At 45.6% G+C, this 25,605-nt stretch overlaps 1 protein-coding gene, 2 long non-coding RNA genes and 1 other non-coding gene across 8 annotated transcripts in view, besides 6 other annotated features; 1 reads left to right on the forward strand and 3 right to left on the reverse strand.

Moving 5' to 3' along the window:
- The window catches only part of SDCBP2-AS1 (SDCBP2 antisense RNA 1), a 53,393-nt gene extending 43,258 nt beyond the window's left edge, over nt 1-10,135 (forward strand). For 2 of the 3 annotated variants that reach the window (NR_040047.1, NR_040049.1), the window contains exons 2-3: nt 4,478-4,578; nt 8,198-10,135. This is a non-coding gene — a long non-coding RNA (SDCBP2 antisense RNA 1). Of the gene's footprint in view, nt 1-4,477; nt 4,579-5,883; nt 6,099-8,197 lie in introns of all 3 variants that reach the window. The other variant, NR_040048.1, reaches the window with a different exon arrangement.
- FKBP1A-SDCBP2 (FKBP1A-SDCBP2 readthrough (NMD candidate)) overlaps nt 1-24,572 on the reverse strand; it is an 83,264-nt gene extending 58,692 nt beyond the window's left edge. Inside the window, exons 1-2 of the long non-coding RNA NR_037661.1 lie at nt 24,362-24,572; nt 24,234-24,281 (exon numbers count right to left, since the gene is read on the reverse strand). This is a non-coding gene — a long non-coding RNA (FKBP1A-SDCBP2 readthrough (NMD candidate)). The remainder of the gene's footprint in view (nt 1-24,233; nt 24,282-24,361) is intronic.
- FKBP1A (FKBP prolyl isomerase 1A) lies at nt 378-24,454 on the reverse strand. Of its 3 annotated transcripts, NM_000801.5 has the most exons (5): nt 24,362-24,454; nt 24,234-24,281; nt 6,891-7,003; nt 3,476-3,640; nt 378-1,472 (listed from the first exon to the last, which is right to left on the reverse strand). In NM_000801.5, exons 1-4 carry the CDS (start codon nt 24,396-24,398, stop codon nt 3,512-3,514), a joined length of 327 nt encoding a protein of 108 aa, NP_000792.1. In that variant the 5' UTR covers nt 24,399-24,454; the 3' UTR covers nt 378-1,472; nt 3,476-3,511. The 3 variants fall into 3 exon arrangements, with proteins under 3 accessions (NP_000792.1, NP_001186715.1, NP_463460.1); NM_001199786.2 differs by lacking the exon at nt 6,891-7,003; NM_054014.4 differs by lacking the exon at nt 378-1,472 and having other exon boundaries at nt 3,116-3,640.
- Nucleotides 8,789-9,988: an enhancer, noted in NCBI's record as "MED14-independent group 3 enhancer chr20:1358033-1359232 (GRCh37/hg19 assembly coordinates)". NCBI's record gives its function as "activates an origin of replication core promoter dependent on BRD2, BRD4, P300/CBP and CDK7 cofactors, and independent of MED14, by STARR-seq in HCT116 cells {active_cell/tissue: HCT116}" and the evidence as "EXISTENCE:reporter gene assay evidence [ECO:0000049][PMID:35650434]".
- Nucleotides 22,541-23,054: an enhancer, noted in NCBI's record as "H3K4me1 hESC enhancer chr20:1371785-1372298 (GRCh37/hg19 assembly coordinates)". NCBI's record gives its function as "activates a minimal SCP1, AML or CMV promoter by ChIP-STARR-seq in naive H9 embryonic stem cells {active_cell/tissue: H9 hESC(naive)}" and the evidence as "EXISTENCE:reporter gene assay evidence [ECO:0000049][PMID:30033119]".
- Nucleotides 23,846-24,346: an enhancer, noted in NCBI's record as "H3K27ac hESC enhancer chr20:1373090-1373590 (GRCh37/hg19 assembly coordinates)". NCBI's record gives its function as "activates a minimal SCP1, AML or CMV promoter by ChIP-STARR-seq in naive H9 embryonic stem cells {active_cell/tissue: H9 hESC(naive)}" and the evidence as "EXISTENCE:reporter gene assay evidence [ECO:0000049][PMID:30033119]".
- Nucleotides 24,081-24,150: a silencer, noted in NCBI's record as "silent region_12590". NCBI's record gives its function as "represses an Ori minimal core promoter by ATAC-STARR-seq in GM12878 lymphoblastoid cells {active_cell/tissue: GM12878}" and the evidence as "EXISTENCE:reporter gene assay evidence [ECO:0000049][PMID:35858748]".
- Nucleotides 24,161-24,260: a silencer, noted in NCBI's record as "silent region_12591". NCBI's record gives its function as "represses an Ori minimal core promoter by ATAC-STARR-seq in GM12878 lymphoblastoid cells {active_cell/tissue: GM12878}" and the evidence as "EXISTENCE:reporter gene assay evidence [ECO:0000049][PMID:35858748]".
- MIR6869 (microRNA 6869) lies at nt 24,300-24,361 on the reverse strand. The gene has a single exon (NR_106929.1). It is a non-coding gene; the product is annotated as a microRNA 6869 (primary transcript).
- Nucleotides 24,461-24,510: a silencer, noted in NCBI's record as "silent region_12592". NCBI's record gives its function as "represses an Ori minimal core promoter by ATAC-STARR-seq in GM12878 lymphoblastoid cells {active_cell/tissue: GM12878}" and the evidence as "EXISTENCE:reporter gene assay evidence [ECO:0000049][PMID:35858748]".

The raw sequence follows: 25,605 nt of genomic DNA on the forward strand, positions 1-25,605 counted from the left end.
CCAAGTGGACTGTGACTCACTTCTCAAAAATGTGTTGTATCTCCCACTTTTCTGTAACCCAAGAACCCCGAGCATAGTGCTCTACCCAGAACACATATTTAATAAACATTTGGTAACAGGGGAGGGGATGTTCCCTGACTATCCCAGCTTGCCCTTTCAGGCAGCTCCTTTGATGCAAACCTACCCCACATTCCCCCTCCTCTGACCCCCAACCCGTTAATAGCCAGTGAGGAAGGATGTTCACTGCTGCATTCTTCTGCCAAGACACAATCTTGAAACTGCATCCCCACTGCCACCCTCCTTCACCCTGCCCAACCCCATCCCCCTGCACCAAATGGCAGGGGAGGCACCTGAAAATAACCACCATGACACAGAGCTGAGAAAAGCCGGCATAAAGCACTTTTATTGCAATAATAAAACTTGAGACTCATAAATGGTGCTGGGGGAAGGGTGCAGCAACGATTTCTCACCAAATCACTACACAGGACAGCAAAGGGGTGAGAAGGGGCTGAGGGAGGAAAAGCCAGGAAACTGAGATCAGCAGAGGGAGCCAAGCATCAAAAAACAGGAGATGCTGAAGCTGCGATGACCAGCATCATTTTCTTAAGAGAACATTCAAGGATTTGTCATGATGGCTGGGCTTTCACTGGGTGTTAAGTCTACAAACAGCACCTTCAATTGAAACTGTCAATTAAAGTTCTTAAGATTTAGGAAGTGGTGGAGCTTGGAAAGTTATGAGATTACAAAATTCCTGAAAGTCCATTAGAAAAACCACAGGATGAAAAAAAAAAAAGGCCACAAAGAAGGCTTCAGAGGTCCCTGCTGGCCCAGGGACAGATACCTGTAGTGTCCAGCATTGCAGTGAACATGATCTACTTTCAAAGGCAGAGGGTTTAAGGGGAGGGTGGGTGGGAATGGTGGAGGCAAAGGCTCTCCCCATCCCCACCTCAGTTTTAGGTAGGGCTTTTAATTTAACCCAAAGACATCTCTCAACTTGGAGAGTAATTCAGTCCTCAACAGCGCCTCAAATCTGCTATGGCTTTGCAGCGCAGCAGCAAGAATGTTTAATATATAATAGATAAAAATTTCATCCAAAAAATTAAAATAAAATATTCTTGCAAACCCCCCCCCCAACACCAATTCCTATTCTAATGTTAACCTACCACTTGTGCTGTTAATACTTGACCATGTACTTAATTGGAAACCTATATCCAAAAGACTGAAACTGAATCTTCACCCCAAAATGAAAACAAAATAAAATGAATAACTTGAGGTTTATGGCATATAGTTTAGGTAAACACACATACGAGGAGAAAGGGGAAGAGGAAACAGAGGTGTCGGAAGCAAAGCTGAGTGACAGAACACATTCAGTCAGGGCAGATGTCTATACAAAGTGGAGTGGAACATCAGGAAAAGCTCCATATGGATTCATGTGCACATGTCTGGAGGCACCAGATCCCTCCATGGCAGATCTGTTGGGGACAGAAAATCTGTGAGTTTCCAGCAACTCAGTGTTCTTTGTGTGCAGTGGCGACAGCCACGATGCCATCTGCCACGCCAAATCCCTTCCCCAACAGCTGAGCAGTCTGAGACCAAGCCACTTCTGTTCCAGCTGGAGACAGCCAGAAAGACTTGGGCTGGGTCCCAGGTGAAACAAACTTTCTCCTTAAATTGATCTGTGTGTTTTGTTTAATCTAAGGTTAAGTTTGCCTTGCTGAGGACAGCAGGAGGGCTAGCCACCCATGCTGCTGACAATACAGTTCCCCACTATCATTGGGTCTCAAACTGTGCTACATATAGGCATCACCTGGGGGCTTTAAAAAACTCTTAATGCCTGGGTTCCACTCCCATGATTATGATTAACTGGTTTAGGGTTTGACCTGGGCATCAGGAAAGTCTTAAAAATTTCCCAGGTGACTCTCATGTGCAGTCCAGACTGAGAATAAACTGGTCATTCATAATGTTGAGTATACTGGGAAAATATCTCCAGTATTCATTCATTCACTCAACTTAAAACTTTCTGGGTTTGCCCTTGGATTTTCCTTCCAGACTCTTGCAAGAAGCTGAGACATTCTTTGGCAGTGGGTTGGGAGGGTTACTCGGGGTGACTTGTAGCCTTTATCCCTCTCTCCCCTCCCTCTACCTCATCAAGTTTACAGAAAGCCTGTTCCCAACCAGGAAAATAATTCCAAGGCTCCCTCGAGTACAGTTATGTTCAAAAAATGACTCAGCTCTCAAAGAACAGGAAAGGGATTTTGGCCTAGGTGCAGACCTCTGGGCAGACAAAGGCCCTGTAAAGTGCCAGGGATTCCCTCCCAGTAGCAATGACAGGTGAAGAAACCAGTTATCAAACTTAACCAGGCCTGTATTACCAAGGTGTGTGTGGTTCAAACAGAGAGTTTAAAAAGCCCCTCCACTTACAGATGTGCACAACAGGACCAGGTTACAAGTAGCTCTGACTGCCATCACAAATAGGATGGCAGCCATTTGTTGTGGCTTTCAAACAAAAGTGTCCTCACCCAGGCCTTGGCTGTGACCCTCTGGTTCCTATGGCAGGAGGGGAGCAAATAAAAAGGTCTGGGGCCAGTTGGAAGGAAGCCAGTAGCATTCATGTACTTAATGATTCTAACACTTACATGAAAAGTTACGTGCTACTAGGATACTGAGTTTAGTTCCTAAGAAATGAGGGTGGAAGAGGGGAAAATCAACAAACAGGGGCTCTGGTCCTACTTTGCCACTGCCTGGATGTGACCTTGAGTAAGGCCTTTCTCTCTGGCCCTGTTTCCTTACTGTTGCACAATAAAGCTGATGCAGAGGCCCCTAAGATCCCTTCCTAGAACTGTCTGATCTAAGAGCATCCTTTCAACTTCACAAGCATCCTCTGGCTTCATTTTTCCACTTCACTCACTGATAAGCTGGCCTGGGGGCCTCAAGTGTCCTGGGTGTGGACCCTGAGCAGGTGGACCGATGCAGGAATGCCTCCCTCATACCATCTAATAGGCAGTAACCACAAACCACAGTGAAGAGAGAGCCGCAGAAGCTAGGACATGATATTCATATCCAAAGGGCTTTTTTTTTCCCCCTCTAGCTTCTAGAAACACAGGGTAGAACAAAGTCATTCATTAAGAGTCTTATTTCCAAAGAACTAAAATGTTGGCACTACAAATTTGGCCTACATTTCCATAGTCCTCAATTCAGTTTTAATTTATAAACTACATAGAAAAACATTTAAACAGCTGCCATCTCCATGAGTTGAACTGGGAACATACACATGCCAATTCCTTTCCTTAGGGTGACCAATTTTTACATTCAAAGCATACACTAATAACACTGAAAGGATACTCAATACAGAAAGAATGCAGGGGGAAAAATAGCCTTGTGGTGTTTTTTGTTCTCTCTGCTACCCATCAAACGCTGGGCATAACATGGGAGGAGCAAAGGCAGTGAAGGGCCCTTCAGTATTCCATTTCCTTACCCAAGAACAGGGAGCTAAGGGAGGAGGCCATTCCTGTCATTCCAGTTTTAGAAGCTCCACATCGAAGACGAGAGTGGCATGTGGTGGGATGATGCCTGGGTGCCCAGTGGCACCATAGGCATAATCTGGAGATATAGTCAGTTTGGCTCTCTGACCCACACTCATCTGTGAAAAGAACAAGGAAGACAGACTCAGCTGGACACATGCCCCAACTGTCTCTGTAAGAAAAAGAGCTGTTTACCTAGGTGTTCCTTGGCCAGGATGGTATTGACTTTCCAGTGACTTTGCAGCTGCCCAGGCATCACCACCTCCTTGTGCAGGACTTGGAGGTTGGCAGTCATATTCCATCACCCCTGCATCTCACTCCAAGAAGCCCAATGGCAGTTCAAAACCCCTCCTGACTCTCAGAACGGTCAGGCCCTCAACCTTTCTACGCAAGTCTTAATGACTAATGCTAGGCAGGTAACATTCCAGATGTCTCACCACCTAGTCCCCTTCAGTGATCTGTCACTTAAAGGACATGTTAAGTGCCATCTATGCTCTTCTTGAAAAAGGAATACTCAACTTTGCTTTAAAAAAATATATACACAGGAAGTAATACTTGAGGGTAGTCTATTTTTTCTGTATTTTTTCTATTTATACTCTTTTACCCATATAGGAAAACTTCAAAAAAGACAATATGATTTTCTGGGCTACAAAATAGCATTTACTGAATACCATTTGTGAAAATATTGATATGCCTACAACAGAAAACATCTTTGGAAGGACATACCAGACATTTGCTGTGAGGAGAACAGTATGGATAGTGAGTGACCAGTAAGGAGAGATTTCTACTTTAAAAAATATATTTGTGTATATTTTCAGTTTCAAATTAAATACACAAATAAGTATAAAATATCTACTTTCTGAACAGTGAGCAGGTTCTCTGCAGTATTTCCATCCTTTGACTTATCTCTGCTTTTGGTCTCCATGTGTATGTTCCCGACTTTCCAACTCCACCAGACAGAGGATGAATAAAGAGGAAGCTCCAGGCTGTGAAGCGTCTAGTCCTTGCTCCCCTCAGAAGCTGGGACATGTTGGACCAAGGTGGTAAGGATAGTGAGGTATGGCTTTACCTTGTACAATTCAAAACAATCATATTCCTTGACTCAGCAATTCTATTTCCAGAATATTCTGCTAACAACTCAAAAGTCCATCACAGAAGGAGTGGTTTCATAGGCATATCCACACCAGGGATTAGTCATGAGAAATCATATAGTGGTGGCTTTAAATGTATTAACATGAAAAGATGTCCAAGATGGATGAAAGAAAGCTGCCAAAATGGTCCTTGTGGCAGGCAGGACTCCACGCCTGCAAACATGTAAAACCAAAACAATATCAAAAGGAAAGGAAAAGGGTCACAAGTCAATCTCCCCTTCTTCCTGTGTTTTTAACTCACTTGGTGAAAAAATATGCTATGAAGAATTTAAAAGATATTTTATGTAGATCTCAAACTACCCAGACTTCTCACAAATGACAGGGCTGTGACTGACCCCAAAATACCAGTTAAAGGGGGAGTCAGGCATCTGTCCAATACTCGACCATGCCTCTCCAAGCCTGGGAAGTGAAGTAGGCCGATAACACTATCTCGATGGCAGATACAGCACTCAGTACATACAACGCAGTGATTGTTCCAATGCTGGAGCAGTCACAGAAGATGGGTTGTGGTATGAACAATGGCTGGCATGAAAGATGGGGGATGGGCTACAGATCCAAGAGCCAGACAGACTAGGGAGACAGAGGCAAAAAGCTATGGTTGGCAAGGTTTCCCAAGGGAAGTAAACTACAAAGCCTCTTCCTCACACTGCCAACCCTCTGCCCTGCAGGAACAGAAACCCAGACACCTGGGAGTGGGATGGCTTCAAGTTCCTGAAAGTTGAGCAGTTTATTTGGAGATAAATCAGTGATATTTTATAGAGGAAGTAGAGCAATGTGTATTCTGGAAAAGAGAGAGACAGAAATCTGTCTTTTCATCTTGGTTAAATTTCTAATTCTCCTGGGTGAGAGGGAAGCAGACTAATTACCCATCATGCAGAGCCTAATTATAAAGTTCCTTGGGTCTCAGGTCACTGAAAAACATCCCTTTACCTGGTTAGAGCCAAGAAAAAATTCCTAGGTTTGATGGAAAGACAGAATCCAACTAAAATTTGGCAACCCTGGGTCCCTATTGTCTCCTGGGAATTTTGTAGTGTTGGCAGAACAAAAGCTGTTTCCACAAATGGGGAGGAAAGAGATTAGGAAACACACTCAAGACAAACGAAATGACTTTCTCCATAAGTATGACGTCTCAGAAGTGGTCTCACACAATATGGGTAATAGATAAATACAAATTAAAACCACTGATATCATGTTTTACTCTTATTGTCCAGAGGCCAAAGATTTAACAATATACTGTGATGCTGGGGCTGGGAGGAGATTGCACCTTTATAGCCTGGTGGTGGCAGTCCAGAGTGCAACCCCTAGAGATGGTAACTTGACAAGACCTCTCAAAAACACTACACACAGCTTTTGAGCCCCTCATCCCACTTCTGAGAGTAAGTCCTATGGCAACATGTGCACACGTGGAAAATGAAGTCTGTACAAGGTGAGTTACTGCAGCATTGTTTATAATAGCAAAATACTGGAAATGACTCAAATACTCATTAATAGGGCACTAGCCAAGTAAATTATAGCACACTTACATAAACGAATACTAGGCAGCTGTAACAGAGCTTACTCCTCATTTTTTCTTTCTTTTTTGAAATGGAGTTTCGCTCTCGTCATCCAGGCTGGAGCGCAATGGCACAATCTTGGCTCACTACAACCTCCGCCTGCTGGGTTCAAGTGATTCTCCTGCCTCGGCCTCCCAAGTAGCTGGGATTACAGGCACCTGCCACCACGCCCGGCTAATTTTTGTATTTTTAATGGAGATGGGGTTTCGCCATGTTGGCCAGGCTGGTCTCGAACTCCGGACCTCAGGTGATCCATCCATCTTGGCCTCCCAAAGTGCTGGGATTACAGGAACTCCTGACCTCAGGTGATCCACCCATCTTGGCCTCCCAAAGTGCTGGAATTACAGGCATGAGCCACCGCGCCCAGCCTACTCCTCTTTTATGTAGTGGTATTGCAAGTGTCAAAAATGCATTAAGTGAAAAAGTAAACTGCAAAACAGTATGTGTGTGAAAGCAAGAAAAAAGTTATGTTTTTATATGTGCTTAAACCACAGTACAAGAAACATTAACAACAGGAGCTTCTTGTGGGGGTATTGGTCAGATGGGATGGCATGAGGGTGAGACTTTTCACTTTTTTTATTTTTGAACCGTATAAATATGCCACCTATAAAAAAATATAAAAGGTAAATACTAGAAAGCAAAACAAAACAAATGAGAGAGCATACCTGGGCAACCCCTTCTTCCCAGCCTCGGATCACCTCCTGCTTGCCTAGCATAAACTTAAAGGGCTTGTTTCTGTCCCGGGAGGAATCAAATTTCTTTCCATCTTCAAGCATCCCTGTGAAAAAGACGACTGTAACATGAGCAGCAGAGTAATGACACAAGACAAGTCAGAAACCAGCAGCAGAGCACTCATCAGAGATGCCAGTGCTGAAGAGTCTGGCAGGAACTGCAGTATCTAGGGAGGGTTTCCTGTGACCTCACTGGACATCTAAGGAGTTGCGACAGTCCTACTCCAGACCTGTGAATGCTCTTCCCTGACTCCAAGCAATAACTCGACTACAAAAGGACCCCGCGTACCAGAGATGAGCGGCAGTCCACCTTCTTCTGGAGATGGGGAGTATAAACTTCCTCCTGCCCTGACTCTCCCAGCACCCCGTGGATTTTCTCCCCAGCTAAAAATAACTGTGGTCCCTCGAGGTGCACACTATGTCTAGAAGTCACACACAGTGCAAGAAGCAATATTCCTTCCCAAAATCCCCCATCATCTTTCACATATAATGTGTGTATATATTGCTCCTCCATTGTTCAGTGCAGGCAAATCCCCCTCCACCATCTGCCACCCCCATGGGCTCCTCTGTGGTTCACTAATTGTGACCTACACACATTGCTGCTCTCCAGGCTGTGGGTCAGCACTATGGGATGTGGTAAGAGGAAGCTATAAGGCAAGCTTTCACCCTCATTCTAGTGCCAAGTGTCTCACACCAACAGGGAACCTGGGGCGTAAAGCTGGCCCCTTGTAGGCTGGTTCCTGAGTTGTCATAATTTTCCTGGGAAAGTAAAAACCAACCTAGGCTGAAATAGAGAAATGAAAGAAAGAATTTGTGCAGCATTCATCCCACTTATTTTATCCAATGCTGCCCCACAAAACAACCCATGCTCATTTTTGCACAGCTAATACTTTGTAACAGAGATGACTGAAGAGAACAGGAATACTAAGGAGGTTGCAGTGGTGGCCCTTCAAGAATTAACTCAGTAAACCCAGCCAACTGCTAGCAACTCTGTGGCCAGTGGTTCCACTCTGAGTTACTCTAAATGGGCTAGGTGCTTTCCACACATGAACGAATGCAATTCTTTCTCCACAGCACTATCCCCATTTCACAGATGAAGAAACTGAGGCAGACAGGGAGAAGTGAAAATAGTAAATAGTAAAATTTACTATTATAAAAATAGTAAATTTATAATTTAGTAAAATAGTAAAACTACGTTATAAATTATAAACCCAAATACCATGCTCTTTCTATTATTCCAGTTTCCCAGAAGCTGGACAAGCCACGACGGCGCCTTCCAATAAAAGGGGAACTCCAGAGACGCTATGAGAAAAGAGGAACAGACATCTGCAATAGATATCTGCAACTTCCTTTTCAAAAACACCATCGGCATTGCTTTCTCAGGAAGCCACTGCCAGCCTATTGTGATAGCTGACACTGAGTTCCTGAGAATTCTCTAATTAGGATCCCAGATTGGAGGGTCAGCCAGTGGTTAACATATAATGGACACAAAACTGATTTTACTGGAAGACTGAGGGTGGGCACTCACCATGGTTCTAAGCATTCATTACTCAGAAGATCCATAAAAACATTACAGTTCTGTTGTGTAAGAGTTTAGGAAAAAAAGAAAATCCTGACAAAAATCCCAACCTAAAAAACAGTGTCAACATTTGTAAGTAGGATGGGGAGGCAGAGATGAATTGGCAGTGTTATCACAGCTACTGGACTATGTGGACTTTAACAAAGTAAGAAACGGGTGGGGGTTGGGTGGTGGTATCTTAATAGAGCAGGAGTAGAGACGGATGTCCTGGGGCAGAATGGGTACCAATGCTGCCTGAAGCCTGGAGCTGGGAGCTGAGGACTAAGAGGTAGACAGGAGGGTGGGGACCGGTACCTGCTCCAAGGAACTGGTGCCCCAGAACTGGTGAGCTGGGGTATGCATTTAGCTCATTCGTTTACCAGAATGCAGTCACCACCTGATGAAAGAAATGACTAATGGCAGGACTTGAACAGTTCTCTATAAATGAGTACCTGGGAGAAAAACAGGTCTCCAGGCTCCACAATACCCAATAAACACACTGCCTTTAGCCCACTTCAAGCTGCACTTCTTACATGGAACCCAACCCAACCAACCTCAGAGGTAAGGGTGAGAGCAGGCAATGAACAGCTATGATTCTCCATTCCCTGGCCAGGCAGGGAGCCTTTCCATCCACCCTCGTGAGACTGCTTGTAACAGAAATAAGGAAACCGACTCCAAGGCTCAGTAACCCACCCAAGGTCAGAACCACGGAGTGGCAGGGCCTGTGAGCCACAAAGGAGACTGAAAACCAGAAAGAGCTTCTCTCTGGTCTGTTATTTTAAGAAAAACATGCCCAGAGGGGCCACCTGGAAGCAAGGCTGTGTGGCACCCTCACCTTCCTAATTAAACAACAACTTCCCAGGAGCAACGACAGCAACAACAGCCTGGCCCAGCAGATGAACTCGAATCAATCCAAGCCCTTCCCCTATACGGGTCAGTTTGGGCACTACTTTACCTGCTGTGAAGTCTACTGGGATCTTCCAGGAAAGTCCCACCTCATTAGTAAAAAGAAAAACAAAGACTCGGGAAGAAAGTTCCTGCCCTCCCTGTTGAATGCTGTGTGAGGATAAGATGTCTGGAGCATGGCAGTCACCCTGTGACTATCAGAAGGCCAGGCGTACCACAAGGTGGTCATTCCAGTGCTCTGAATCAGCCCCAAACCACTTCCCTCAAGACTCATGTTCTGAGGTGATTAAAAGTGTGCTTTGAAGGTAAATCTAGGATGACAGTCAACAGATCAGTGATTGCCAGGAGTCAGGGGTAGAGGGAGGGAAGAACAGATGGAGCACAGAGAATTTTTAGGGCAGTGAAAATGTTCTGTATGATACTATATATAATGGATACATGCCATTATACACTTGTCCAAATGCACAGAATGTACACCACCAAGAGTGAACCCTAATGTAAACTATGGACTTTGGGTGATCATGATGTGTCAATGCAGGTTCGTCAATTGCAACACACGTACCATTCTAGTGGGGGGTGTTGATAACAGGAGGCTATGCATGTGTGGGACCAGGGGATATATGGGAAATCTCTGTACATGCCTCTCAATTTTGCTGAGAATCTGAAACTGCTCTTAATGAAGTCTTACAAAAATAAAGAAGTCTGCTTTGCCTTAGGTTGGGTCTTCAGTTACCTGCAGCCAAATGAACACAACTGGCGTGAGGTAAACCTCTGACACTTAGTGAGCACGCTACAATGTAGTGCTGCCACGAAAGGAATAACAAAGAAACAGAACTCAACAACTAAAACCACAAAGAACTATCCCTGATCCGCGACAATGGGAACAGTGTCTCATGTCAGGACCCAGTACACACCCACATTTTGTCTGTGTATAAACAAAATTTACATGTAAGTTACTACATGGCATATACTTCTCATTTTTAAAAAGAATGCTGATTGTGACCCACTACATTTATTTCATGATGCATTAATGGTTCATAACCCACAATTTGGAAAGTACGGTATACCTATAAAAAATTAGCCTTATTTCTTGCCAAACTTGAACACGGCTCTGACCTGTGCAAGATCGTATTTTGATTGCAGTGAAAGCCACAGGGTACTGAGACAGACTCCCTAAACTTCCTTTTTATTCCTGATCAAATGCAATGCCAAGCAACCTCCAGACACTACATGCATCAATGTATCAATGTTGCTTTGCCTGAGGTGAGATACTTCAACTATCTATCTGACTGGTACCAGGCTAGGAGCACTAGGCAGGACACAGCCTGAATCTGCTGCTGCTGCTGCTGCTGAGCCAGCATGGAGATGTGTATGTTCTTCAGTGGCTCTATGTGAGGATGCCTGTCTAACCCCAGCTCTCCTGAGCCTATCTTGGACACTGAGGGGCAAACCTCTCCCTAGTATCTTAAAACCATAAAAGCCAGGAAGCAGGATTTCTAAGTAAAGGAGCTTTAAACAGGACCTTTGCCTAGGATCTTAATTTTCCTATGCTATTTTGGATGCTCTGTTGTCCCTGGGAAAGGGGCATGAGACTTGCTCCAGAATTTCAGACCACAGTCACCAACTGTCAATCTCATCTACTTTCTAAGGAGAAATCTTCGCAGGGCAGGGTTGGGTGGTGGCAGTGATGTTGGGGTTCCTTGAGTCCAAGGAGAGGATTTCCCATAATCGAGTCCGAAAGCTAAACAATAATCCCCCGAAATGGGTGGGGTGGTATGTGATTAAGTGGGTGTCACACAACTGGCACAAGCTACAGGACAAGGAGAAGGAGGGCTTCCCCAGTGGGGAGGAACAGGCCACTTATCTATGGCCCTAAGTTGTCAGCCTGGGGGAGAAGGTGGAAGCAGTGTTTGTTAAGCTGGAATGAGTGTGCATGTGTAGGAATTATGCTGTTCAGTCTGTAATGTCAAAACAGATAGTGAGAACTTCCATTTCTGGTCACGGTGGAGGACAAGGATCAGATTTGTTCATGAAACAACCAACAACCAACCAACCAACCCCTTCCTCCCTACAAAAAGTCCACTAAAACCTAAAAACCACCTAGACAAAATAGCTACAACGATGGTTTGTAGGACACCAGACATCTGTAATGAAGAACAATAAATCCTGAGACATGGGAAACAAGGGCAGCCCTATATCCTTGGGAGTTTCCAGGGAGAGGGACCTGGAGTGGAGCTCAAGGCACCTAGAGTCCATAGGACACAGTACCAGCAGGAGAGAGCTATACAGAGATCCCCAGAGATCTGCAGGGTCCTCTTTGAGTATTCAGCAGAGTCCCTCTCAGTGCATGTATCTGAGCAAACTATTCAAGGCCAGGAAAAGAACTATCCAAAAGGCTTAGAGGAACAGTATCCAGTGCTCACACAGGGCTAGGATTAGTGCTTACTACCCCCCGGTCAAACTGGAGAAGCTCATGATTGACAAAGCACTGGGCAGAATACTCAGGAAGATCTTGCCTATAGTAGGAAATAATCAGCCCTAAACTGAGCTCTAGACCTACCTAACAAATCACAAAAGCAAGACTCGCAAGCATCAAACTGTTTCCGGGTAACTTAAATGCTTCTCAGTATAAAACTCAGGAAAATTTATAGGAATAAAAATATCCAGCACCCCAAAAGGCAAAATTCACAATGTCTGGCATCCAAAGATTACCAGGCATGCAAAGAGGCAGAAAACAGGACCCACAATGAGGAGACTTATCAATCAATTGAAAGCAACCCAGAACTAACACAAATGTTAGAATTAGTAGAGGAGAACCATAAGACTCCAACTTTCAGAGATGAAAACTACAATGTCTGAGATGAAAATTACATTGGGCTGAAATGACAAAATATCCACACATAACACAGTAAAAACTTCACACCATTATCAAGCATTAACTCAAAATGGATCCTAGACCTAAATGTTAAGTACTAAACCTATCAAATTTATAGAAGAAAACATAGGAAAGAAATCTTTGTGACCTCGAGTTGGGTGAAGATTTCTTAGTATGATGTCAAAAAGCACTATCTATAAAAGAATAAATTGAACTTCATCAAAATAAATTCAGTACTTTAAAAAGCACTGTTAAGAAAATGAAAGACAAACCATACACTGGGAGAAAACTTTTGCAAAGTACATATCTGATAGAGGACTTATATCCAGAATATAACAAACCAAAATTCAACAATTAAGAAAACCAATAAAAAAGGGCTAAAGATTTGAACAGATACTTCATTGAAAAAGACAGAGGGCAGGTAAGCATATGAAAAGATGCTAAACATTCCTAGTTATTATAACAACGCAAATTAAAACCACTAGGAAACGCATCTACCACCACTGATTAGAATGAGTAAAGCTAAAAAGACTGACCACGTCAGGTGTTAGTGAGGATGTGAAGGAACTGGTATTCTCATACACTGCTAGTGGGAATATAACATAAAGCTTCAGAAAACAGCTTGATAGTTAAGTTAAACATACACCTCCCATATGACCCAGCCATTCTGATCTTGAGTATTTATCCAAGAGAAATGACAGGCTATGTCCACAGAAAAACTTGTACACAAATGTTCAAAGCAGATTTATTAGCGATAGTCAAAAACTATAAACTAACCCAAACATCCACCAACGGGTAAGTTGGTAAATACATGTTTCTATATATAGAAAAATATTTAGCAACAAAAAGGAACAAACAATTGATACATGGGACAATACAGATGAATCTCAAAATAATTATACCAAGTGAAAGAAGGCAGACATAAGAGAACGTACTGTATGATTCCATTTATATAAAACTTTAGAAAATGCAACAAATCTACACTGACAAAAAAGCATATCAGTAGTTGTTAGAGGAGGGTAAGGAGGGGTGAATTCAAAGGGAAACAATGACACATCAAAATTTATGAAGCTGTACATTTTTAAAATGTGCAGTATATTGGATTTCAATCACGCCTCAGTAACTTTTTTAAAAAAGGAAAAGAAAAAGAGTAGGCAGTGGCATTTACTAAAATGCTATATATGTTTAGCTCCCACATACACACTGGCAATGAATGAAAAGTGCTTCCTCTCTTTGGGGAGGGAACAGGTAAAGCAGGCAGCAAGTCAAGTCTCAGCAGCTGCTCCAATTTTAACTCTGGAGATCACTTGTGCCAGGAGCTGGAGCCCTTGAACAGTGAAACCACCTGCCAAGTTAGTGCCATAATTTCCTAAAGAAAGCGTGCCCTGCTCAGAGAAGGCAACTGAGGTTACAGTGCAGACAAGACAGCTGACAGTCTTTAAGCTCTAAAGGCCACTCAGCATAAAACATCACAAGCATTGCCTTCTAATTGCAGAACTGACCAATTTCATTCCTGGCCGTACAAGCCTATAACTCATGCCTAACAAACTGCCTGGAATAGCTCCATATTCTTATTTTAAGTATTTAGTCTTGGCTCTCCTGACTGAATGCAGCCCAAGCTCACAGACCTGGCCTGCGTTCTGTGTCCTGGTGGCACGTATGGTGCTGGTACTCAAGAGCACTCTTGGATTTGCTTTACTTGCATGATTTTTAAGAACCAGAAGGACAAGCATGAGGCCTTCATATTTAGACCTTCTTCCCTATATGGTAACAAGAATATGAGGGGTAATCCCAGAATGGTAAACTTTACTTTAAGCACCTTTAGTTACTAATCAGTAAGAAAAATGTGAAAATGTGCTCCAGTTAAAAGCACAAGACCATGAAAGAAGCCAAAGCTATGACTGACTGCATGCAGAGGCTGTTGACGTCATCTTCGCCTGGGTCTCCTCCTGAACTGAAATCCTTGGAAAGGGAGCAAAAGGGTTTACAAAACAAGACGGTGCAGAGAGTCTCAAGTCTGTCTACTCCACAGCAGCCTGCTCTTTCCTGTTGCTTTTCAAGGAATCAGCAGAGGGAGACCTGGCCAGCAGCTCCTGGGCAGCAAAGTATCCCCAGACTGTGTTCCTGGTGGTTGGCTCAAGCCACTGAAGCGGTGGTTAAGACTCAAGACCAGGACCTGGAGATTCACAAGGACCACTGGGATACTATTTCACTAATAACCCAATAGAAATGGAGTCACTTCCAAGGCACTCTGCTTTGGGGAAGGGCAGAGTGCCATATACCTTCTACTGGGTAACAGGACTGAAGAAGGCACCTCTACAGACTTATGGCTTCACTACTTGTAGTGAAAGCTCATGACTCACAATGCAGTTTATAGTTGCTCATGAATCTTTGCAGGAGTGTTTCCTATAGGCAGCATTTTACAGGGACAAAATATGGGAAGTTTTAAGATTAAAAAAAAAAAAATGACTAAACTAAACCAAAAATCAAACATAACAAAAAACCAGAATATCCTAAGCCCCAAACCTTCAAAATAAAATAAAGTCCTTGCCATTTACAGTTTGGAGAGGGAAAAGGATTTCTACTTTCAACACGCAGGTGAGTTTCTTAATGACAAAAAGTACAATGAGGCCAGCTGCGGAGGAGGCTCATGCCTGTAATCCCAGTGCTTTGGAAGGCCAAGGCAGGAGAATCACTTGAGGCCAGGAGTTTGAGACTGGCATGAGTTTGCAACCAGCCTGGGCAACACAGCAAGACTCATGTCCCCAATCCTGTTTCTGCAAAAAATTAAAAAAAAAAAAAAAAAAATTTAGCCAGACATGGTCCTAGCTACTTGAGTGGATCAAGTGGGAGATCACTTGAGCCCAGAGGTTTGAGGTTGCAGTGAGCTATGACCGCACAAGTACACTCCAGACTGGGCAACAGAACGAGACTCTGTCTCTTAAAAAAAAAAAAAAAGGTGTAATGGTTGAATGGGTGGAGGTAGGGGGAGCCAGTATTTTTCTGCAGCTTTGCATTTGAAGCCACTCAGAACATTCCCAGATGGGCGTATGGCTCAAGGTCTAATGGTTTAGCTGTTTGCTTTCCCTCTTCTTATTAGACACAGAAGTTCTCTTAACCACCTTTTACTCAGCTGCCTTACTTGGAGACTCATAAAACTCACAGCCTTCGTACCCCAGCATAGTGAAGAGCACTCCCCTCATGCTTTAGTCTCTAGCTCATGATCACTTCTTCATTCCCATATGAGTTCTGTGTTCACAAAGGGAGGAGTGGTTAGCTGTGTTTGTCCCCAAATCCATTTATGGTAGCTATATTTACTGTGTAAATATAATGTAATTAAATAGTATGTAAATCAATAAAATGAGTGTGAATACAAACAGCGGTTCTAGCTGACTCCTGGGAAAGACTCAATAAAGGCAAGTCACTAAAAAACTATTGCTAGTGAATAATCATATGGGAGACTACATTTAGAGAAAGAAATCTTAAAAATCTGGAAAGGTTTGGTTTTTAAATGTTCTCACAATACTCTTTGCTCTACTTTAAAAAAGGTCAAATTGGTTTTTGCAAGAACTATGATGGGAAACTCCACTAGCAGAGCCATCCTCAAAGATAAAGACATAGTCCTTTAGCAAATGATTTATGTTAGAGTTTGAAATCAAATGTTTACAGAAGCCATGTCACTTTTATGTTAGCATACCAACTACCCACTTGTCTCAATCATGATGGGTAAAAAGGGATTCTACATTTAGATAGGCAAAAGATACAAATTCAAATCTTACATTCTTATTATTCCATTTCTGGGTCTCTGTGGCTGTATTCCAGCACAACCTCCCTGAAGTGGGGTTCTGAGAACTCCTTATGAGTGAGGGGTATGACCAAAGGTCCAAGTGCCAACCCAAAGAGGGAACCAGCTCACTCTCACTATCATTTTCCTGAGATCACCAACAGTGCAAGCACATTTCCCATACGCAGTATGGAAATGCTTCTAACCTTTGGCTAAATCCCTTTAGATCCTATAACCAAAAGTGTATTTTCAAAGGCAGGGCCCATGATGGGAAGAATATGCAGGATCCAACGGCAATAAAAAGAACACAGACCAGAATGCATGCCCTGTGGGTGTGTCTCTCCATTTTCCACTTTAATCACAGTATAAATAAGAGGAGTTACTACCACATTATATCGCATGGGGAGGGGGAGAAAGAAATACCACTAGGCCGGGTGCAGTGGCTCACGCCTGTAATCCTAGCACTTTGGGAGGCTGAGGCAGGTGGACTGCCTGAGCTTCGGAGTTTGAGACCAGCCTGGGCAACATGGTGAAACCCTGTATCTACTAAAATACAAAAAATCAGCCGGGCATGGTGGCGTGCGCCTGTAGTCCCAGCTACTTGGGAGGCTGAGGCAGGAGAACTGCTTGAACCCGGGAGGCAGAGGTTGCAGTGAGCCGAGATTGCACCAGGGCACTCCAGCCTGGGCGACAGAGTGAGACTCCATCTCCAAAAAAATCAAAAGAAATACCACTTAACAATAGCTAGCTGGAAGTGGTAGAAATATGCATTTTCTATAGGGTATAATGGTTAAAGGCATGAGTTCTGGACCTCTGTTACAGACTATTATTACAACTCCCTCCCTGGTCTCCCTGCTTCTGCTCTTGCTCTCCTACAGTCTAAACCTGACACAGCAGCCAGACCCTACTACCCCTCGGCTGAAAAACTCCTGTGACTCCCCCATCTCAGGAGATAAAACTCTTAAAATGGCCTACAAGACCCTCTAAGAAGTGTCAAGCCTCCGCCCCTACCACCATCCCTCTGACTTCACCTCTGATTACTCTTGTACTTTTCCAGTCCCAGAACATTGTTTCCTTATGTTCTACATACACACCAGGGATACCTCCACCCGTGGGCCTTTGCATTTGCTGTTCTCTCTGCCTAAAATGATCTTGCTCAAACAGTCACATAGGTTACATCCTTACCTCCTTCAAGTCTTTGCTCAAATGTCACTTTCTCATTGAGGCCTTTGCCAATCTATCTAAAACCTCAACCTTTTCCTATTCCCTCCTTAACACTTACTAGCTTATACACAACAGTCTTGCTTATTAATCATATTTATTATGTCTTTTCCACTACAGTGTGAGATGAAGGCAGGAACTGTGTCTTCTTCACTCCTAAATTCTTGGTAGCCAGGACAGTGTCTTGTACATAGCAGACATTCATCAAGTACTTACAGAAATATCAAAGGTACCCTTTTCTCCTCCTGGCCTGTGTATATACCTGGAAGACGCTTTCCTCCTGCCTGACTGCACCATACACACCCAAGACCAAATGGCACTTCCTCCAAGAAGTTCTAGCCTATAGGTGTAGGTTGCCTGAGGTACTTTCATTGTAACTGACCACTCCCTACAGGGTAAGCTTCTTGAGGGCAACATTGAGGCTTTGCCCAGCTCCTTATATATTCACTGAGTGACCGAGGGAATGCCAGGTCCTAACTGGCCACTCATTCAAACAGTCACTGAATAGCTACTCTATGCCAAGACTGATGGGGAGACCTTGGAGAACAACACTAGTGTGGGTCTGGCCTCCTGGAGCCTTCAGTCGGTTGGGGAAAGAGCAGATGTTTAACTACACGGATCCTGACTATGATGGGGGCTAAGAAAATAGATGGGTGCATTGTTGCAGAATTAGAAGCATGCATGTATGCATCCAAAGTGTTACTTAAGCTGTGCTATAAAGAAAAGAGCCTGTCATGCAGTGGGGAGTGGGGGCAGTGTGGTGGCACCTAAGCAAAGGGGCAGAGACCTCCATGTGGGAAAAGGCTTGGAGCATTCGAGGAATGAATGCAGGCCAAGGTGGCTTGAGCTCCTGGGAGAGGAAGAGCAAATGTAACAGAAAGAGACAGTAGCATCTAAGAACTGGTTATTTCTACCTCCCCGACTTTCTGCACTGCTAGAATACACCTGGTCAAAATCAAAGGGGTCCAGGGGAGGGAATGCAGAGACTTGGTTAAGCTTTTTAGCAGGAAAAGAAAACAAAAAAACAGAAGAAAAAATAGAAGTAAAAATAAACAAATGTCACCATGAGCACCAAAGGGAGAACTGAATGCTATGTGATTAAGTTATTCATAACCTTGGCTTCTTCCATGGGAAACAGCAGGTGACAATATTTTTAGAGAAAATTCCAAGGCAGACAAATGATTTCCAGTTTATGGATACAATAAACCCCTCAGTAATTCATAAAAATCAGTTTAAGCCTAAAAATGTTCTAGTTAAAACATCTATGAGTAAATAGGTGAATTTATGGTATGTAAATTATATTCAATAAAGCTGTTACCAAGAAAAAAAAAGGTCATGGACCCCACTGAAAGGAACCAGAGCTCTTTGAAAGATGGCTGATAATTGGACCAGAGTAGTGAAACCGAGAAATGGATGAAGGAATGGTGGGAGCCTGTCAAAAAGGTACTGGAGCCAGCTTAAAGGGCTCCTACTGGCCAAATTTAGGATGATATTAGCATCAAAAAGAATAATGGGTATCATTGATCTTAAGGCCCTGACAAAAAATTTCAGCCCACAGTACAGTCAAAGCAAATAGAGGGGGAAAAAGTCACTTGCCCCCACTGGGAATGGCAATACCCCATCAGTTAACATTCATTTTTCATTTTAAAAATTGGTAATTAAAGGCTGGGCACGGTGGCTCATGCCTGTACTACCAGCACTTTGGGAGGCTAAGGAGGGTGGATCACTTGAGGCCAGGAGTTTGAGACTAGCCTGGGAAACCTGGCGAAACCCGTCTCTACAAAAAATACAAAAATTAGGACAGGTGGCATGCACCTGTATGCCCAACTATTCAGAAGGCCGGATGGGAGGCCGGGATGGGAGTCTGGGAGGTCGAGGCTACAGTGAGCCATGATCAAGCCACTGCACTCCAGCCTGAGTGACAGAGACACTGTCTCAAAAAATAAAAATAAAATTTGGTATTTAAAGGTAAAGAATTACTTTACCTTATCTTATAGAAGGATAACAGCTAATAAATTTAGAAAGAATGAAGGAATTTTAAAAATCAACACTTTGTGAATGCCAGTGACTTCTTCAGGGGAGAATGATCAGATGGTGTAAACACCACTAGGTGAAAGGCTGATGAGCAAGAGACCATCTATGGCTACCTAAGCACTCCACAGATCACTGCTAAATGCAAAGGGAAAAATGTACCTTTACAGAAAAGATCAAATTTAGCATCACAACTAGTGATGTTTCCCATGTGTGCTGAGGATGAAGTACTCACACTAAAATGTTTAAACGGAATCTATTCAGACACTTAAAAGATTAAACATCCGGTTCAGAAAATCAAGGCAGGGAACAAGTTAAACAATACCATGAGAAAACAGTAAGACAGATGTGGAGTATTCTATAACTAGCCTGCTCTCTTTGAAGAAATCAGAGTTATTAAGAAAAAAACAGCGTAAGGACTCTTCTAGACTGAGATTACAGACATAACAACTGCGATGAGTGAGGCTCAATGGAACTGTGGTTTTAAAAAAGAGCAACACTTTGGAGACAACTGGGTAGTCTCGATAGGCATTTGCTTCACAGCAGGCATCGTTACTCCCATTTTATAGACAGCATGTGGAAGCTGGGAACTGTGGGACAATTTGTTCAAGCTCTCATAGCCCGTTGTATGGCAGGGTCAAGATCAGAACACAGCGAAGAACCCACATGCTCTTTGGGGATCACTGTCCACCTGGCACCACTTCTGCCCACTGCCTGAGCTGGCACTCCACACACCTGGGATACAACCAGTGTCCTGTTTCTGCCTTTGCCCCCAAAAGCCCATTGTCCACACAGTAGCCAGAAGGAGCGTGGGTTGGGGGGGCGGGGGCGGGCATTAAAAGCCAAGCCAGCCAGTGGCTCTCACCTGAGTTAGAAAAAGGCAACGTTTTTATAAAAACCAACGAGGCTCCACCATCCCCTCATCTCCTGCCACATACCCTTTCACACAATCCACTTCCTGTTCCTCTAACGCACCGGTCTTCTTACTGTTCCTCTAATGCACCGAGCAGGCTCCAGCCTCAGGGTCCTGCACTAGCTCTTCCCTCTGCCTGGATACTCTAGACAGCCCTGTAGCTCCCTCTCCAATGTCCTTTGAGTGAATGTTAAAATGCCATTTTTTTCAGAGGCCTTTTCCAATCACCCTCACGAAAAGCAGCCAACTTCCCTTCCCATCCCTCACTCTGCTTTAATCTCTCCAGCGCTTCTTACTACCTGATGTGCTCCATGGCCATACTATCAGTCTCCTCATCATAAGCAAAGCCCCACCAGATCAGGTCTTTGTCTATTTAGTTCACTAGCCATGTCCCTAGAGCCTGGCTTGCTGCTGTTGCTCAAAAAACATCTGCTGTGGGAAGGCAAAGGGACTTGTTGCAGCCCTGCCCAACAGTTACAGCCTGTGTGCCTCAAGACAGCACACGTCAGGGGAAGCCATCTGAGGCATCTCTGCTGAGGGTGAGCCTCCCTCCAGACATCAGATCACCAACCAAGAGATACCTAGCAAGGGAGTGGATGGAATAAAGCAGAGGAGAGGGGGGAACAAAGCTAAGGAAAAGCAAGGGGCTTGAGGGAGGCTGCAGCAAAGTGGCCACACCTGTCCCGGGAGCCTCAGCAGCCTTCCCAGTCAACCTCCTGAGGACATGAGGTTGAGGGGCTCCTGGTTTTTCTCAGTCAGAAACCGGGAGGCTATACCTGACTTAAACCTGATCCCAAGGACAAAATGTCCAGTTAGTTACTTTTTAAGAAGAAAAAAGAAAACATTCCTTCAATCCCCTTGGGGCTGCTCTCACAATGGCAGGCACACGGCCTGCTGAAGTAAGTAAAAGAGGTCTAAACCTAGCTGTGTGCCAGGACAAGCTAACAGTAAAGATGACGAAGCTACTGGAGGCAGCAGGGAGGCGCCATGAGAATTCCCTGGCTCCTAAAGGCACTTACTTGGCAGCTTACCTTTCCACCACCTCCCTCCCACCTCAATGCCTGTCATGCTCCTAGGAGATGCTTAGCTGGTGATAGTGAACTTTGTATTTTCCCTCTGGTACCACAGAGGTAGTGCAGGCATTCCTTTGAGGCCTTGCTCATGCTGTGCTCTGCCAGAAGGTCACGGAAGTCACCAGAGGGACCCTTGAGAGTGACATCAAGGTGACTGACAGCCATTAGTGGCATTTAAAGCATCCATGTGGTAAAGGTCAGTCTGTGCTCTGCACACCTGTGATGGCTAAGGGGAGATTTTGGCCACCTTACTTCCACCCCTCTTTCTCTGGACCCGTGCCCAAATCAGCTGAGTGGACACCTGGCAAGAGCTGACTGGATCAAGAGTGTTCACCTTACTCAAACTCTCCTTCTCAGAGAAGTAACAATCAGAATCACAGCCAAGAAATCTGAGCCAGATACTCAAAAGAAGACAGAGAAGCTGGCCATGGGGAGGGGGGAGGGGGGAGGGGGGACGGGGGAGCATGCAGGGGACTTCCACCACCCACCAGTTGGGAGAAGCAGACAAACACAAATCTCTAACAGGAGACTACTGAGGCAGTCAGGCAGGAAACAAAACAAAACACAAAACAACAACCAAAAAACAGAGATGAGAACTAGAGGCATCATGATTATTTCTTTTCCCTTCTTAGGACCCAGTGGGCTTCTGCCTTTGAAAACCCCTGGAACCTTTATAACCTCCACCTTCTGATCATGTTCCCCCAAGATGGATTCTGTTCCCAGTGACTTAAAAGCCTTAACTGCTACAGATGAGATCTCCCAGTGCCTACCCACTCCTCTCACGCCCCCACAGGTCTCAAACAGGTTATTCCTGGGAGGCTGGTGACAAAGACCCACGGGAACAAAGCCACCAGCCTGCTCGAAAACAGTCTATTCTGTGAGCATGAGGCAGAGCTGGCTTCTCACTAAGGCGTCTTTATAGGGCTTATCAAAACGAAATCAAAAAGAAAGCTTTTGTCCTAATGCATGCCAGGGTCCTGCTGCTGCTCTGGAAACATGTGGGTGCGTGCCACCCGCGAGAAAAACACACACTTCAAGAGGCACTGGAAACCCTGATGGTGTTCTGGGTCTCATGACCATCTGTTCTCATAGGAAAAGGCTCCAGACATGCTGTGTGGGGATATTTCACAAAGAGACATGGTGAAGTGCGGCACTGCCTACATGCTGGGGTCCAGTCCTGTTGGCAGCACCAGAACATGGGCGAGCATGAGGGGCAGACGTGGGAGTGGGACACATGCTGCCAAGCACCCTAGTGTGGCTATGTACAAGCTAGGGTGGGGAGGGGGTGCGGCAGAAGGCAGCTCCTCACGGCTTGAGTCCCAATCTTTGCCCCAGTTGGCTGCGGAACTGAATGAACTGCCCACTCACCCCAGCACTGTAAATGGTTACTCTCCTCATCCTTCCGATGACAAATCACCAAAAGGATGCGCTTTCATCTACCAGACCTCCCAGGCTCAGGTGCTGACTGTGGCCTACAAGGACAGCTATCTAAAACATCAAAAGCACTTTCCAGCTTCCTTCACGGACATGAGACTGCCTGCTCCCCAGAAAGATGGGTTTCAGTAACTCCTCCTTTGGCAGAATTTTTAAAGTTCTAGTCCTTAACTTCTACCTCCTGCCCCCATTTCTACCCACGGGGAAGGGCCACAGAAATAAAAGGGCATGGGAGGGGGGATGTTAGTTGCCTTTTCCTCTTTCCAGTGAAAGTCATTTCCCTCAATAGAGGGATCCCTCCATGTTTCCATGATTTGGAAGAGAAAGGTGGAGCTTATTCGTGAGCAACTTGGCCAGAACTGCCCACAGCCTACTACCCAGGAGGAGGAAGAGGAGGAGAGGGAGTGGGAAAAAAAGAGGGAGGAGGAGGGGGAACAGAGGAAAGGGTGGGAAGGTTGAGAAAGGGGAAGGAGGAGGGGGAGGGAAGGTTATTCGTATCAACAACTGTGGCTACACCAATCACTGCCACCCTTGTGGGACCCACAGCCACTGAGTCTCCGCCAACTCAGCTCTCCCCCTCCCCCGCCCCCATACAAACCAGGACAAGCTTGTAAGGAGAAGGAGTAAGACAGCCCCAAGGCACACGACTCTGATGTCTGAATTCTGGCTGGGGAGGGGGAGGTGTCTAAAATTTCCTTTGGCTTGTATTATCACTATGTATTAGCCTCCAGATGCTTATCTTTAAAATGAGGACGAGAAAAGTCTCTACTTCTAGAAGAGCTGGGGGACTAAATTACACGTGCAGCTTTCGGTCAGCCTGAGCCAGCGCTGTCACTGAGCCTTGGATTTGTAAGTGGCTCAAAAGTAAAAAGACGGAAGAAGGCCGTGCAGCTCTACTTCCCCCAAGGCCAGGAAGGGCCAAAGCAATGACTTAGGAAGTGGGATGTTTCCCCACCCTAGGCAAAGGGGCGAATTCCGAGTTCCCCGGAGGAAGCAGCAGCTCTGCAGACTCGGAATTACCTCGTCCTCATCTCCAGTGAAGGGAGGGATGGAAGTGGGGGCAGGGGCACAGAAATGGTACAAATCCTTCCTAATGGTCCCTGGCCAGAGCTCTGCCCATTCCTGAAAGTGTGACCTTGGGAAAGTGAGACCTTGGGAAAGTGACTTCGCCTCGCCAAGCCTCAGTTTCCTCATCTGTGCAGCGGGCATAAGGGCAGCATCTAAGGTGCAGAAATGCTTCTGACGGGTCAGATAACACCTAGCCCGCAGCCGACGCTCACAGCCGCCGATTCAGACCCGCCCGGGTTCCGCAAGCCCCAGGCTGCCCCTGAGCCACCGCCCAGGCCTCAGCCTCGGGCCATGCGGACCTCGCCGCCGCCACGCCCCGGACCCCAGGCCCCGGGCCCCCAGGCCTCGACGGCCAGCCGCACCCGGGCTGCGGACTGCGGCCCGGGCCCCCTCCCCGCTGGGCCCCCGACTCACCGGTGTAGTGCACCACGCAGGTCTGGCCGCGCTTGGGGAAGGTGCGCCCTGAGGAGACAGAGACGGGCATGCTGAGCCGATGCGCGCGGCGGCAGAGGTACTCCGAGCCGCCGCGCGCCACTACTCACCGTCTCCTGGGGAGATGGTTTCCACCTGCACTCCCATGGCGGCGGCGGACGCTGAGCGGGCGGGCGGCGCGACGGGCGGCGTGGACCAACAGCGACCTGGCGGCGGTTCCACGGCTCTGCCTAGTACCTCGGCGCGTCGCCTGCGCACGCGCACGCCCCCTCACGCCCAGCCCTGCGTGCGCGCCCCACACGGCGCGCGACGTCCCGGAAACCCAGGCCTCCGGAAGAGGGACCGGAAGCCCAGAAGCCCCGAGACCTCCGGAAGCCCGGAGGCCTCCGGATACAGCTGTGTTTGCCGGGTGACTTGCTTCGTTCTCCTGCCCTTCCTCTGTGCTTCCAGCCGGTTAAGCATCTCCCTGCCCAAAGAATGGGAGTAATAATAGGGGGTCCGCCAGTCACTGACTGGGTGACTGTCATCAGGTTTCCACTTAGAAGCACACAGTTACTCATCCTGGGAAGAGCATGGTTCTGAGAAGACAGCGCACAGGTGGTGGTAGTATGTTAGTATTTTATAAGTGGCTCAAGGTTGTAAGTTCTGCTTTTCTTCACTGGAGGAGGAGTTGTCCAAATTCATTCACTCACCCATAGCTTACATGCATACATTCTTATTGAGCATGTGAAAGTTGATAATACGAATTGGGTCACTCTTCTTATGCCCAACGGAATCAGAATCCAGGGGCCAGGGGAAAAGCACTGGAGGCACGCAGCGCCTGCTCCAAGAACCAATATTTCCACTAACTGCTGCGGAAATGGCCTGCTGTCCCCCTGAGACCAGATTCAGCTAGTAACTGCTGAAACAACCCGCCATAACCTAATACTAGTTTTACTTACCACTGTCAGTCACCAATCAGAGCTTGCCAGCTCCCTGAAACTTTACTAGTGCCAATGCATTTCCCTTTCTAATAAAACGCCCAGCCTTCTCTTTGTTTTTCGGACATACCAAAGACCACCAGATCTGTGTGTATGCTCCGAGTTGCGATTCTCGCTTCCCCAAATAAAACATTACATTTAGAGATTCATCTCCATATTTTATTTTGACTTTGACAAGCACCTTCTGTATGTCATGTACTGTGCTAGGTGCTGAGGATACAGCGGTGAAGGAGTCAGACTTAGTCCCTGACCTCACAGAATCTACGTATGATGTGGGAGAGATAATCAAATAACCTGTTTAAGTAAAAAAAGATACGGAATAAATGTAAAGTTTCAAATCTGTAATATTATGAGACAGTAATACATGCTGTGAG

This window comes from Homo sapiens, chromosome 20 (genome assembly GCF_000001405.40).
Source record: "Homo sapiens chromosome 20, GRCh38.p14 Primary Assembly".
In the NCBI taxonomy this organism is placed as follows: Eukaryota; Metazoa; Chordata; class Mammalia; order Primates; family Hominidae; genus Homo; species Homo sapiens.

Bases quoted from the DNA above. Each gene is read 5' to 3' on its own strand.
- FKBP1A (NM_000801.5), bottom strand. From the start codon at position 24,398: ATGGGAGTGCAGGTGGAAACCATCTCCCCAGGAGACG. The intron at 7,004-24,233 runs GTGAGTCGGGGG...TCTTTTTCACAG, and splicing joins CTGCGTGGTGCACTACACCG to GGATGCTTGAAGATGGAAAG. The intron at 3,641-6,890 runs GTATGCTCTCTC...TTCTTTTCACAG, and splicing joins GGGAAGAAGGGGTTGCCCAG to ATGAGTGTGGGTCAGAGAGC.